A 14,700-nucleotide genomic window follows, 5' to 3' on the forward strand; every position below is an offset into this window, starting at 1 on the left:
TTGGATTTGCCTATTCTGTATATTTCACATAAATGCAATTGTACAATTTATGGTATTTTGTGATGGCTTCTTTCACTTAGCATAATGTTTTCATGGTTCATCTATGTTGTAGCATGTATCAGTCCTTCATTCCTTTATGTGGCTGAAAAATATTCCATTGCATAGATTTATCACATTTTCTTTATTTATCAGGCAACTGACATTTGAGCTGTTTCCACTTTTGGGCTACTATGAATAATGCTGCTATGAACATCCACATACAAGTTTTTGTGTGGACATATGTTTTACTTAGTTTTAGAGTTGCTGAGTATATACCCAAGATTAGAATTGCTGGGTCATTTGGTAACTGTACGTTTAAGCTTTTGAGGAACTGCCAAACTATTTTTCAAAGTGAGCACACCATTTTACAACCCTACCAGCAATGTATGATGGTTCAAATTTCTGTAGGAGTCATTCTTGATTCCTCCCTCTCTCTCAGTCCACACAGATAGTCAATCACCCAAGTCTTGCCAATTTAACAACCTAAACCTCTCTCAGTACTGCAACTGCTGCTCTTGGTCAGTTCTACATCATCTTTCACCTGGACTATTGTAATAGCCTTCAAGCTGGTTCTTGCCTCTGGCTACTCATCCACCTGTACCAGCATGAGCTTTCTAAAAACAAGCCCCAAAGAATGTCAATTCCCTGTTTGAAACCCTTTAATGCAGTGACTCTCAACCCTGCCTGCACAGTAGAATCACCTGGACAGATTTCAGATATCCTGATGCCAGGGCTGCACCCCAAGCTGATTAAATCAGAATATCCAGGTTTGGCATCCAGACATCAGTATTGCTAAAGCTCCCGAAGAGATTTCAATATGTAGCCAAAAACAGAAACATTGCTTTAGTGACTCCCTACTGCCCATAAGATGAAGTTCAAGCTCCCTAGCGTGACCCACGGGTCCTTCATCATCTGACTCCTGCCCACCTATTTATCTGCATCTTGTACCCCTCCCTGCATCACACGTAATACCCCAGCTGTACTGATCTGCATGTGGCCTCCAGCAGAAACATATCTTTCTTCCCTGTCTTCTCTGCCTGGAATGTCCTTCTCAGCTCTCTTTGCCTCGGGAGCTCCCTCCTACTCATTCCTTAGGATTCAACATCTCTAGAAACTCTTCCTTTATCATGTCCTTTTTGTCCTGTGTACTCCTTCAGCGCTATTGGAATTGTTTGTCTTCCCCAGAAGACTGGGAACCACCCCATCCCCCACCCACAGTTTAGCACCTGAAATTTATCATGCCCTCTAAGTAAGAGCTTTTGGGTAAGTGAATGAATTAATTAATGTCCTTGAAAGAGTTGCAACACAGCATTTTGTTGTGTACCATCTTAACAATCAGACCCTGAAGGCATCTGGGCCAGAGTAGACAAGGACCTCAACCATGAAGAAATGGCCCGGTGTACCCAACCCCACCATACCAGCACACAGCTTCTCTAGCCAGGGGAATCTCAGGTGCCACAGAAATTGGACCTCAACCAGAGAAGTTGGCTCTTGACTAGAAAACACTGAAGATGAAATAAATTCGGACCTAACATGAAGTGGATAGCTTAGCAGACCCTTCCTGTAAAATTCGAAAACTCCTGCCCAAGAGAAGAGGGACCACTGCCTGCGCTTGAATAAAGGACTCAAGTATAGGCAAATCGAAGCACCTTCCTTCCCTGAGCCCATTCCAATGCTCATCTGATCTCTGGAGCTTTCATGTTGTACACCTCTCCACCCTATCTTAACCTTGAATCCCAGGTACACTCTGCCTGCTCTGACAACTCTCTACCTACCTACCTGCCTACCTGACTCTCATACCTTAGCTCCACTTTGATCACCTGGTAGCAATGGATTGTCCAACTACACCAAGTGTCAAGCCTACAGGCTCTCAGGAACCCATCTCTGAGAAAGGCATCAGCTTCCCAGCCAACTGCCTGCCCAATGTCCGGCCCCAGACTTGGCCCCTTGATGAGGTATTCTCCTTACATATATCTCAATACTAAAATGACTTACCAACACTGCTATAGACTAAATGTTTGTGTCCCTCCAAATTCACATGTTAAAACGTAATCTCCAATGTGATGGTATTTAGGATGTGGGGCATTTGGGAGGTGAATAGGTCATGAAGGTGAAGGCCTCATAAATGGAATTAGTGCTCTTATAAAAGAGGCCCCAGAGAGCTCATTTGACTCTTCTGTCATGTGAGAACACAGAGAACACCACCATGTATGAACTGGAAAGTGGGCCCTCACTAGACACTGAATCTGTTGGCATATTGATCTTGAGCTTCCTAGGCTTCAAAACTGGAAGAAATAAATTTCTGTTGTTTATAAGCCACCCAGTCTATAGAATTCTGTTATAGCAGTCCAAATGGACTAAGATGAACACTAACACTAATTGCCCATATTGCATGCCAGCTGTAAGAGAAAGCACCATTTGAGGAAACACAAAACTAAACACACATTAGAGTCCTTTTTACAACTCTGCTTTGTTGCTGTTTAATTCATGGTTCTCAACCTTGACTGCACATTGAAATACTGTGTGTTTCGAATGTTTCGAAAATACTGACAGCTATAAGTAGGTAAATCAATCAATCGAATTACCTAATTTTGAAAGTAAATAAATAAAAATACCAATTTGGGGTCTCACACCCAAATATTCTGATTTAATTAGTTCAGACGGCAGCCCAGACAGCAAAAGTTTTATAAGCTCTCCAGGTGATTCTAATATGCAGGCAGGATTGAGACCCACTTGCCCAAAAGCTACAGTCATGTGCCCCATAACGATGTTTTGCTCAATCACAGGACCACATGTACAGTGGTGGTCCTATAAGATTACAATGGAATTAAAAATTTCCTATTGCCTAGTGGCATTGTAGTCATAGTAACGTTGCAGCCCTAACACCATAATGCAATGCAATGCATTACTCATGTTTGTGACACTAGTGTTAACAAGCTATTGCTCTGCCAGTCATATAAAAGACTAGCAATACAACTATGTATAGAACATATACTTGATAATGACAATAAACAACTATGTTACTGGTTTAGATATTTACTATACCATACCTTTTATCATTATTTTCAAGCGGACTCCTTCTACTTATTAAAAAAAACAGTTAAGTGTAAAACAAGCTCAGGCAGGTCCTTCAGGAAGTATTCCAGAAGAAAAAATTGTTAGCGTAGGAGATGACAGCTTCGTGAATGTTACTGTCCCTAAAGACCTTCCAGAGGGGAACAAGATGTGGAGATGGAAGACCATGATACTGATGATCCTGACCCTGTGTAGGCCTAGGCTAATGTGTGTGTTTGGTCTTAGAGTCTAACAAAAAAGTCTCAAAACTGCGCTTGCTTTGGCAGCCCATGTACTAAAACTGGAGTGATACAGAGAATAGTAACATGGCTCCTGTGCAAGAATGACACACAAATTGTGATGCGTTCCATTAAAAAAAACTAAAAATAAGTAAAAATAATAAAAAGTAAAAGTTTTAAAGTAGATAAGCTTAGAGAATAAGGATATACATGATGAAAATATTTTTGTACAGCTGTACAATTTGTGTTTAAGTGTTATTACAAAACAGTAAAACAGGTAAAAAAATTTAAGGTTTATAAAGTGAAAAAATTATAGTAAGCTAAGGTTAATTAGTTATTGAAGAAAGAAAAAAATTATGTATTTTTTGAGATGGAGTCTTGCTCTGTCACCCAAACTGGAGTGCAATGATGCAATCATGGCTCATTGTAGCCTTGAACTCCTGGTCTCAAGTGGTCCTCCCACCTCAGCCTCTCAAGTTGCTGGGACTACAGGTGTGTGCCTCCACACACAGCTAATTTTTAAATTTTTTGTAGAGATGATGTATTGCCATGTTGCCCAAGCTGGTCTGAAACTCCTGAACTTAAGCGATCCATCCACCTCAGCCTCCCAAAGTGTTGGGATTACAGGAGTGAGCCACCATGTCCAGCCAAGAAAAAATATTTTTTATAAATGTAGTGTAGCCTAAGTGTACAGTGTTTGTAAAGTCTACAGTAGCATGGAGTGATGTCCTAGACCTTCACATTTACTCACCACCCACTCACTGACTCAACCAGAGCAACTTCTACTATTGCAAGCTCCATTCGTGGTAAGCGCCTTATACAGGTGTATAATTTTTTAAATCTTTTATACTGTATTTTTACTGTGCCTTTTCTATATTTAGATATGTTCGATACATAAATACTTACCATTGTGTTCCCATTGCCTACAGTATTCAACATAGCAACATGCTGTTCAGGTTCGTAGCCTAGGAGCAATAGGCCACACCATATAGCCTGGGTGTGTAGTAGGCTATACCACCTATGTTTGTGTAAGTGCACTCTGTGCTGTTCACACAACAAAATCACCTAATGACACATTTTTCAGAATGTACCCTCATCATTATGCAACACATGACTGTGCTTCTTAGACTCCAAACATACTTCCCCTGACTTGGTTCTAGGGAGTCAACATTGTCAATGTTACAACTTCGTCTTAGAATGGTTTAGTGCTCCCCCCCACCTTCTTCTTATACCCAGGATCATAAAGGCTTCTTCAAGGGCATTTTGTTGGGCACGGAGCTGACCACCTCCATGTGTTTCCTTCCCTTCAGGCCTTACAGAGCTTATTCTCATTATTCCACCTCTATTTGCAACGGAGCCTGAAACCTATCCTTATTTGCAGTTTGCCATTTAAAAATCATCCCTTCTGGCTTTACTTTTTGCCCTGTTCTTTCTGTGTCCAAACTGAAAGTCCGAAGTGAGAGAAACTCATGCTACAGAGTAACTCGCTGGGGTTTGGTGTCAAATCTTAAAACGCCCACTTTCCAATCAAGGGTGACTAAATTATGAAGTAGCACTGCCCCCACCCCCTCCTTTTTAGCTCTTCACAATGCTTGCTATCACCTATTTTATAATTAGCAGTAGATTAGCATGAAAAAGATCTTCCTTCCTGAATTAGGCACTGCAAATATATTTTCTAACTTTTGACCTAAATTGCAGTCTGATTTAAAGTTTTGTTTGTTTGTTTACCAGTTTTCTAGAGAAATAAGAAAAAAAAATAAAGTTTTGTTTGTTTGCTTGCTTGCTTGCTTTTTTTATTCACTCAACAAATCCTTAGCACATTTTGAACAAAGCAGCTTGAAAGCAGAGTTAGGCTATTTCTGTACACAAATAGAAGAGCAACTAAGCTTGTGTTTTCACCAGTGGTCTTTTGCAGAAGATAAGGGTCAATAGCTATGAGGGACCAAGGCTCAAGTTTCACTTAAGGGAAACTGGATTCACTTCTCCAAGTGATACTGAAAGCTTGTATTCCAGGGTTAAGATTTACCAAATCAGGGACTCTCTTGTTTTCAGGGATAGTGCAGATTCTACATATCGGGTTTTTAGGGTGCACATGATGAATAGTTTGGAAACGTTTCTGCACCAGTTTATCACTGGCAAGACAGAGGTACCACTTGCAGTCCTCTTCCTGAGAAGGTTCCTCCCACAAGGCATCCCACTTCCTTTTCAAATTTTACTTATTTTGCTCATCAGCAATAAAATGAAAATGTGTCTTTCGCTCTCTATAATCATCTCCCCAACTCAGCAACTTAAGGTGCCTCTGTCACTTTGATTTATTCAAATGATTTGAAATGTCAACTTATTGAAGATCTGTAGAGGACCATGGGTAATGTCACCCACTGCCCTGAAAAGCCAACGAATTTTAACTCTCTGAACGGATGTCAGACAAGGGCAAAGCTGAGCCCATGGAATCACTTTTTGCCATGCTTCTCAATGGAGCAATTCAAGGTGACTTCGTCATGCCCATTGAGGAAGCCACATCTGCCAGTTTGTATGGCATCATATTGGCAAAAAGGAAAAATGGTCACTGAGAGGAGACTTTTCCCCACAAGTATGATTTCTTAGAGAGCCATGGCATTATTTTGGTGCTTAATGAAGTGAAACCTTTTTATCCCAGCTACAGTCCGGCCTTACTGGATTGGCAACAGCCCCAGCAAACTGACAATTTAAATGAGGGTGCCACTGCTTGAGGACTTTATGTGAGGCCTCATTAATTAGTCTATGAGGATGGTCTAACACGGTGCTTGGCACAGAGGTAGATAGCACTCGTGGCATATTAACCATTGCTATGATTATGAAAAGTTCATTTCTAGAGAGTTCCACCAGTAGTTAAGAGGTAGGCTTAGGGATTTGACCTCTAACACACTGTGACTATTCCTGTCATTCTATCCTGCTGGTGGCTGGCCTGGTGCTCTAGGGTAGTCAAAACCATTTTAAGAAACCGCAGAGAAATGTTAAATTCTCCTGTTGTGCTGGAATTCAGTGAATGCCAATGGATCTTAAAATAATTGGGTCAGTGTCTGAGGCTTAGAAAGGCAAGAATTCTCTTTTGCCACATGGGATTTTGTGTGAATTTGGCATTAATATCAGACCTGTGCTATCTTGGCTTGCTTCTTTAGGAAGTAAGCTGGTGCTAACCCCTCAAGGAAAGGATAAAACACTTAGCAGAGCCTTGTTTGTTTCTCAGTAGGGAGTGGCACACTAGCTTAACATGTAGGAAGTTGGCAATAAAGTACTATGTATGACGGAGATCTGACCTCGTTCTTAGCTGAGGTTGGTATGGCTTCCTCTAGAGCATTTGCCAAGTGGCCTTTGTGGTTAAACAGCACACTGAACTTTCTCTTAACTCCTTTTAAAGTGAGGACAAAAGGATGGATATGCCTGGCTGCCGCCAATGAACATTACACAGTGCCTCCTCTGTGTTAGGTGTTGGAGGTGCCATGAGCAGCACAGTCCCAGTCCCAGTTCTCAAGTTCACAGTCTAGTCAGAGATACAAACAGTGATGCACTGGAGCCCATTGCTACTGATTCATGAGAGTTGATAGATGTTTAGAAATTTTTGCCAGTCAGTCGTTAAACACAAACTTATTAAAAATAAAATTCTATAAGCCTGCAATTAAAATACATTTCAAACAAAGGTAAGAAACACTCAAAATGTATCACTTCCTAATTATTTTACTGCCATTGCTTATTATATATGCTCTTGAGGTGATCTATAGCTATTGTAGCAGTCTGATGGAAATGCTGTATAATGCTGTACTACTGGGCATTTCTACCCAAATCAATGTGTAGCCTCACGTCGGTAGCTTGAAATTGGTCATGGTGGGAATATTTACACAGTGGAAATTGGCAATCACTATAAACTTGGAATGTTTTCTTTTTTCCTTTCATAAAATCAGTTATTAAACATTTATTAGCACACCTGGAGACATTCTAGCAAATAGATTACAGTAAATCCAGTGGGCCCCATGGCTGTGGGATTATAGCCCATGGTAGGAGAACATGGGAAAGTGTTGTGAAAGGCTTCACACAGGAGGCAGGTGCTTGAAGCAAAGCTCTGAAAGATAATTAGGAGTGAAGGCCCAGAGGCAAGATAGGGCAGAATTGATCGAATGAAAAAGATGTGGGTTTTGCTCTCAGGGGCTCTCAGTTAAAAGGAAACAGGAGAAAGGGAGTGAAGGGTCAAGTGCTCTGTGGGGTCTACTGGGACTGCTGTAGGGGCACAGAGGAGGGCACAGGGCTGGTGGGGGTAGAGTAAGGCTTCCTGGAGGAGGTGATGTGGCATCTTACCACGGAGATCAAAAGAGAACTAGGAGTAGCCACCGTTCCTGGAATGGAGGTAGAAAAGTAATGTCTTCTTATATATTAAAATATATTGCCAATACAATCAGCATAGAAGAGTAATCAATGTTTTAAAAATGTATTCTCAAGAAATGCTTCACTCTTGAGATTGTGCAATCCTTGAAATATTGCCTTGTGAGTGGGGATCTTAGTTTCTAGTGCAGCCTCCCACCTATCACGGGGCTTTGCTTATAATAGCCCTGGCTGAGGGCTTTGAAGTTCTGCCTGAATACTACAGGTGTTGGGGGAGAAGGGAATTGAGTGCATTTGTTAAATTCTGAACTAAATGGGAATAAAGACCTCATTTGGGGAGATAATTATTAAATCCTATATTCAGAAGTCTGGTGTTTGCTAAGCCCTTCAGTTTCATGGACAAAGCATAAACAATATTCCCTTTTCAACACCACAAATTAACTTTTCCAAGAAAAATTGGCTGTGAGATAAGGATAGATTATATTCTGGTATGTGTATGAGGAATGGGGACTTTGAACTGCTCTCAAGTCCCTAACTACAGAAAATCTAAGAAATGATGTTGTCTCACTTTGGTAAAATAACATCTGGGGAAAATACCTACTTTCTCTTTGCATTTAGTGCCTCATTAAAAAAAAAAACAAAAAAAAAAACAAAACTAAAGGTCAGATTAGCAACCTAAAAATGAAACTAGAATGGAGGTGAGGAAAGAAGTAGTGTAACATTTTACCCTGAGGCTGAGAAGAGGGAGCAGATCTAGTTGTGCAAGCACTCAGAGTCTGAAACGTAGGCCCTTAGTGTTACAAACAGGATGAATGCCTTGGCAAATAAACTCTTGAAAAGAAACCTGTGCTAAGATTTCCCAGAGACTCTGAGTTTTCTTTAATCCTTTACATCCTTCTTTTTGTTACAAAAATAAATTTATTTATTATTTATTTATTTATTTATTTGGACAGGGTCTTGCTCTGTCGCCCAGGTTGGAGTGCAGTGGTGAATCACAGCACACTGCAGCCTTGACCTCCAGGGCTTAAGCAATCCTCCCACCTCAGCCTCCTGAGTAGCTGAGACCACGGACACACACCACCATGCCTGGCTAATTTTGTCATTTTTTTGTAGAGACAGAGTTCTCTCCATGTTGCCCAAGCTGGTCTCAAACTCCTAGGCTCAAGAAATCCTCCCACCTCAGGCTCCCAAAGCGCTGGGATAACAGGCATGAGCCACTGCATCCGGCAAATTCTTCTTAACTTTCTTGTTTGCAAGAAATAGAAACCCATTCAGCTAGTTCAGATAAAGGATGGGTGGGAAAATGAAATTAATTCAGAAATATTAACTGACACTCACTATGTGCCGGGTTCTGAGCTAGGAGTCCCTGGTAAGCAGTGACTAAGATGGACACAGTCCCTGTCCTCACAGAGCGTACCATCTAGGAGGAAAAAAAGCACTAAACTAACAATTACACAGTTTGGGTGTTGTTGTTGTTGTTTCTGAGACAGGGTCTTGCTCTATTACCCAGTCTGAAGTGCAGTAGCGCAATCTTGGGTCATTGCAACCTCCGCCACTGGGGTTCAAGCAATCCTCTTGCCTCAGCCTCCTGAGTAGCTGGAATTACAGGCATGTGCCACCACACCACACTAATTTTTGTTTCTGTTTTGTTTTGTTTTTTAGTAAAGATGGGGTTTCACCATGTTGGCCAGGCTCGTCTCAAACTCCTGACTTGAAATGATCCGCCCACCTCAGTCTCCCAAAGTTCTGGGATTACAGGCATGAGCCACTACGCCCAGCCTATTTGTTATTTAATTATAAGCACGATGTGCACTCTGAGGGAAAGGAGTGAGGGGTCGTGAGAGCCCATGGAGCTCCAACCTAATAGGGCTGGATGAAAGGCCAGAGGAGGCTTCACTGGAGAAGTGATATTTGAGAAAACTCAGGAGCATACCTTTAGCTGGGATGAAGGAAGCATTATCTGGTACCCTTGCTTTTCTTTCTAATTCCCTTATCAGGCAATACGTTACAAAATCAGCATGAAATTTGATAAATTAAAACTCAGAAACAATGTAGAAAAAAAAGCCTCCCGATCTATTTTATACTCGCAGGCTCCTTCCACCAATATGCTCAATTATTTTCCCTGAACAGATGTTCCCAGACCTTTCACTCACCCAGGAGTTTATTTCTTGTTTATTCCTGACAAAATTGCTGTTTAGCATAAGATTTAAAATGTGTGCATTTACAGCGCTACATCCAGAATGCACCCCAGAAAGGAATTTTCACCATTAAATGTACAACTTAGTCAGGGTTATGATGACTAAAATGTTGTGGGAATGCTGATTATTTAAACATGACATTATTAAGTTTTAATTCATCTTTGTAAACAATTCTTTATTTTTATACTGCTGCAGAATTAATACCACTGTTGACTTGTGTTTCAGTCTTTACATATCGCATTCCCTGTGCTTTTCACAGGTCTACTGTGTTTCCACAGTTACTTCCCATCTGAGAAGCTGGAGAGGAGGCATTTGCCTTGACCCTCCACCCACCTACAGTCAGGCAAACATGCCTCTGACTAATAGAAACTGCCTGAAGGTGATGACTTGGTACATCCAGCAGACACTGAACTGCTGGACAGAATCATATTTATAGCTTTCTTACAACTATCTTTTGCTTCTCACACAGGGTAGCTACTGGATACAGGAAGGTGCGTCTTCTTTTCTCACACCCATTTCTCTCCTTTGGGTTTATGACTCCACCATTGTAGACATACTTGTCTGGCCTAAGAAAGCAAACTGACCAAAGAGTTGCGCAAAACTCAGCAGATTCCATTTTGTAAACCTTCTCCAGTTGGAATTGCATAAAAGAGCCCTTCTCCTTTAAATTTCACTTTGAACTCTACCTTGGCTGAACCAAAATATCAGAGGGAAACTCAGTCAAAACCACAGTGTAGACCCCAAATAAGTAAAGATTTACTTGAAACCTGAAGATTTTCTCAAAAGCTTTTGAGAAGGTGCAGATAGAAAGGCCAACCTCACTTGGATTTATGATAAGGAGTGAAATCTGAAACCATGGGTTCTAGGCACTGGCTACCACTAGAGGTAGGTGGTAAAATAGCAATAATAATAATAATAATTACTGCTGCTACTACTACCTCTTGTCTTAAGCCTTTGCTATATGTCAGTAGATATTGTGCTAAGCATTGTTTATCTCAATGGCTTATCTCAGCAACCCTCTGGGGTGGGTGTGATATGACATCTCTTTACAGATGAGAAAATAAGGCTTGTTCGAATTCTGCCAATTATACTTGCAAGCATGTATGTGTAGCTCTATGCAATTTTATCACATGTGAAGATTTGTGTAATCACAACCACAATCAAGATACTCAACTGCAGCCTGGGCAAAATAGTGAGACCTCGTCTCTAAAAAAAAAAAAAAAAAAAAAAAAAATACAAAAAAGAGGCCTGGCGCAGTGGCTCATGCTTGGAATCCCAGCACTTTGGGAGGCCAAGGTGGGTGGATTACCTGAGGTCAGGAGTTCAAGACCAGCCTGGCCAACATGGTGAAACCCTGTCTCTACTAAAAAATACAAAAATTAGCCAGGTGTGGTGGTGCATGCCTGTAATCCCAGCTACTTGGGAGGCTGAGGCAGGAGAATCGCTTGCACCTGGGAAGTGGAGCTTGCAGTGAGCCGAGATTGCGCCACCGCACTCCAGCCTGGGTGACAGAGCAAGAGTCCGTCTCCAAAGAAAAAAAATAAAGAAAAATAAAGAAAGAAAAAGACAGAGAGAGAGAGAGAAAGGAAGGAAGGAAGGAAGGAAGGAAGGAAGGAAGGAAGAAAGAAAGAAAGAAAGAAAGAAAGAAAGAAAGAAAGAAAGAAAGAAAGAAAGAAAGAAAGAAAGAAAGAAGGAAAAAGAAAAGGCCGGGCGCAGTGGCTCACGCCTGTAATCCCAGCATTTTGGGAGGCTGAGGCGGGCGGATCACCTGAGGTCAGGAGTTTGAGACCATCATGGCCAACGTGGTGAAACCCCGTCTCTACTAAACATACAAAAAAAAAATTATCCGGGCATGGTGGTACACGCCTGTAGTCCCAGCTACTCGGGAGGCCGAGGCAGGAGAGTTGCTTGAACTCAGGAGGCAGAGGTTGCAGTGAGCCAAGATTGCACCATTGTACTCCAGCCGGGGTGACAAGAGCAAAACTCCAACTCAAAAAGAAAAAAAGAAAAAAGAAAAATAAAACAAAAAAAGAGCCAAGCTCACACCTGTAATCCCAGCACCTTGGAAGGCTGAAGCAGGACGATTGTAATTACAGACGGGGTGGCTTGTGCCTGTACTCACAGAAACTTGGAAAACTGAGGCAGGAGGATGGCTTGAGCCCAGGAGTTTGAGGCTGCAGTGAGCTATGATAGCACCATTGCACTCCAGCCTGTGAGACACAGCGAGACCCTGTCTCTAAAAAAACTAAAATAAATAAATAAAATAAAAGATACTTAACTGTACCATTGCCACAAAACTCTGTTATTATCCTTTTACGGCCACATTCGGCCCCTCTCCCTTATCCCTGGTAACCATTAATCTGTTCTCTATCATAATAGTTTTGCCATTCTGAGAATATTATATAAATGAACTCATAGACTACATAAACTTTTGAGATTGCCTTTTTTTTTCCCCTCAGCATAATTGCCTCGAGATTCATCCAAGTTGTTGCATATTGTATTGTTTGTATTATTGAGTGGCATTTCACGGTATGGACATAGAACAATTTCTTTATTGAAGTTTATTCCTATTGAAGGACATTTGGGTATTTTTCCAGTTTTTGGCTATTACAAATAAAGACAAGTATCTGCATGCAAATTTATGACCATAAAGTTGTTTGTAGTATTTCTTATTATCCTTTTAATGGCTGCAGAGGTTGCTGTGATATCTTTGTTTTATTCCTCATATTGGTGATTTTTGTTTTTTTGGGTTTTTTTTTTTTTTGTATTTTTTTAGGGACAGGATCTCACTATGTTGCCCAGGCTAGAGTGCAAGTGGCTATTCACAGTCACAATCATAGTGTACTACAGCCTCATACTCCTGGGCTGAAGCAATCCTCCTGCCTCAGCCTCCTGAGTACCTGGGACTACAGATGTATGCCACTGTGCCTGGTCTGATATTGGTGATTTTTATCTTCTTTCGTTTTACCTTTGTCAAATTTGCTAGAGGTTTATCAACTTTATCAAGTTATTTCAAAGAACCAGCTTTTTTTTTTTTTTTTTTGAGACGGAGTTTCGCTCCTGTTGCCCAGGCTGGAGTGCAGTGGCACAATCTCAGCTCACCACAACCTCCACCTCCTGGGTTCAAGCGATTCTCCTGCCTCAGCCTCCCGAATAGCTGGGATTACAGGCATGCACCACCACACCCAGCTAATTTTGTATTTTTAGTAGAGGCAGGGTTTCTACATGTTGGTCAGGCTGGTCGCAAACTCCCAACCTCAGTTGATCCGCCCCCCTCGGCCTCCCAAAGGGCTGGGATTACAGACATGAACCACTGCGCCCGACCTGAACCAGCTTTTTGTTTCATCAGTTTTTCTAATGATTCTCTGTTTTCTATGCCACTGAAAACAATGGTATTGACTTTCTCTTCTTTTTCTAGGCTCTTAAGATGTGAGCCTAAATTATTGATTTGAGACTTTTGCCCTTTTCCAATGTAAGCATTCAGTGTTATAAATTTCCTTCTTGGCACTGTTTTAGCTGATTTCCATATATTTTGATATGTTGTGTTTTCATTTTATTCAGTCCTATTTATTTTTAAATTTCCTTTGAGACTGCTTTTTTGACTCATGTATTATTAGGCATGCTGTTTAGTTTCCAAGTGTTTAGATATTTCCCTTTTATTTTTCTGTTATTGATTTCTAGTTTGATTCCATCTGGCCAAATAACACATTGTATATAATTCCATTATTTTAATTTGTTAAATTTTTTTTGTAACCCAGGGTATAGTTATCTTGGTGAATGTTCCGTAGGAACTTGAAAAAAAAAATGTGTATTCTGCTGTGTTTGGGCGGAATGTTCCATATATGTCAATTAGATCCTACTGGTTAATTGTGTTAAGCTATATCCTTGATGATTTTTTGTCTAGCAATTTTATCAATTGCTAAGAATGGATTGTTGAAGTCCCCGAGTATTATTGTAGATTTGTCTATTTCGCCATTCAGCTCTACAGGTTTTGCTCATGTATTTTGCAGCTCCATTCTTTGGTGGTCTTCTCAGTGGTTTGACCCTTTATCATTATGTAATATCTCTCTTTGTCTCTGATAATTTTCTTTGCTCTGAAGTCTACTTTATCTGATATTAATATTGCCACTTCTTTCTTTTGATTAATGCTTGTAGAGCATCTTTTTCTATCCCTTTACTTTCAAACTATCCTGTTATATTTGAAGTGCATTGCTTATGAACAGCATATAATTGAGTCACATATTTAAAATCTATTCTGCCAATCTCTTTTAATTTGTGAATTTAGACCATTTACATTTAAAGTAATTATGGAATTTCTAGAGCTTAAGACTGTCATTTTAATATTTATTTTATGTTCATTCTCTGTTTCTTGCTCCTCTGATATTTTTTCTTGCCTTCCTGTAGGCTACCTGAACAACTTTTAGAGTTCCATTGTATTTATTTATAACGCTTTTGATTATACTACTTCATATAGTTTTCTTAATGGCTGCTCTAAGTCTTACTATACACATACATAAATTATCACAGCCTAATGGTATTGACATTTTACCAATTGAGAGAAGTATGGAAACATTAATTCCATTTAGGTCCCTTTAATCTCCCCACTTTTCAAATACAACTGTCTTAGGTATTTTCTCCAAAATCATTGAGCTCCACGTCAGATAGTGTAACAACACTTCCTTCAACTATAAAATATGATTAAAGAAACTCATGAAGTAAAGAATAGTCCATTACACTTACTTCTATTTTTACCAATTCCATTATTCTTCCTTCCTTTCTGAAGGTCCATATCTCCTTTTGTTAACATTTTCTTGTTC

The 14,700-nt window shown here is 40.4% G+C and overlaps 1 pseudogene, besides 3 other annotated features; it reads left to right on the forward strand.

The window, feature by feature from the left end:
- Positions 3,365-3,470, forward strand: RNU6-320P (RNA, U6 small nuclear 320, pseudogene; annotated as a pseudogene).
- Positions 6,528-6,657: an enhancer, noted in NCBI's record as "active region_29989". NCBI's record gives its function as "activates an Ori minimal core promoter by ATAC-STARR-seq in GM12878 lymphoblastoid cells {active_cell/tissue: GM12878}" and the evidence as "EXISTENCE:reporter gene assay evidence [ECO:0000049][PMID:35858748]".
- Positions 6,748-6,817: an enhancer, noted in NCBI's record as "active region_29990". NCBI's record gives its function as "activates an Ori minimal core promoter by ATAC-STARR-seq in GM12878 lymphoblastoid cells {active_cell/tissue: GM12878}" and the evidence as "EXISTENCE:reporter gene assay evidence [ECO:0000049][PMID:35858748]".
- Positions 8,260-8,319: an enhancer, noted in NCBI's record as "active region_29991". NCBI's record gives its function as "activates an Ori minimal core promoter by ATAC-STARR-seq in GM12878 lymphoblastoid cells {active_cell/tissue: GM12878}" and the evidence as "EXISTENCE:reporter gene assay evidence [ECO:0000049][PMID:35858748]".

This window comes from Homo sapiens, chromosome X, assembly GCF_000001405.40.
Source record: "Homo sapiens chromosome X, GRCh38.p14 Primary Assembly".
Classification (NCBI taxonomy): Eukaryota; Metazoa; Chordata; class Mammalia; order Primates; family Hominidae; genus Homo; species Homo sapiens.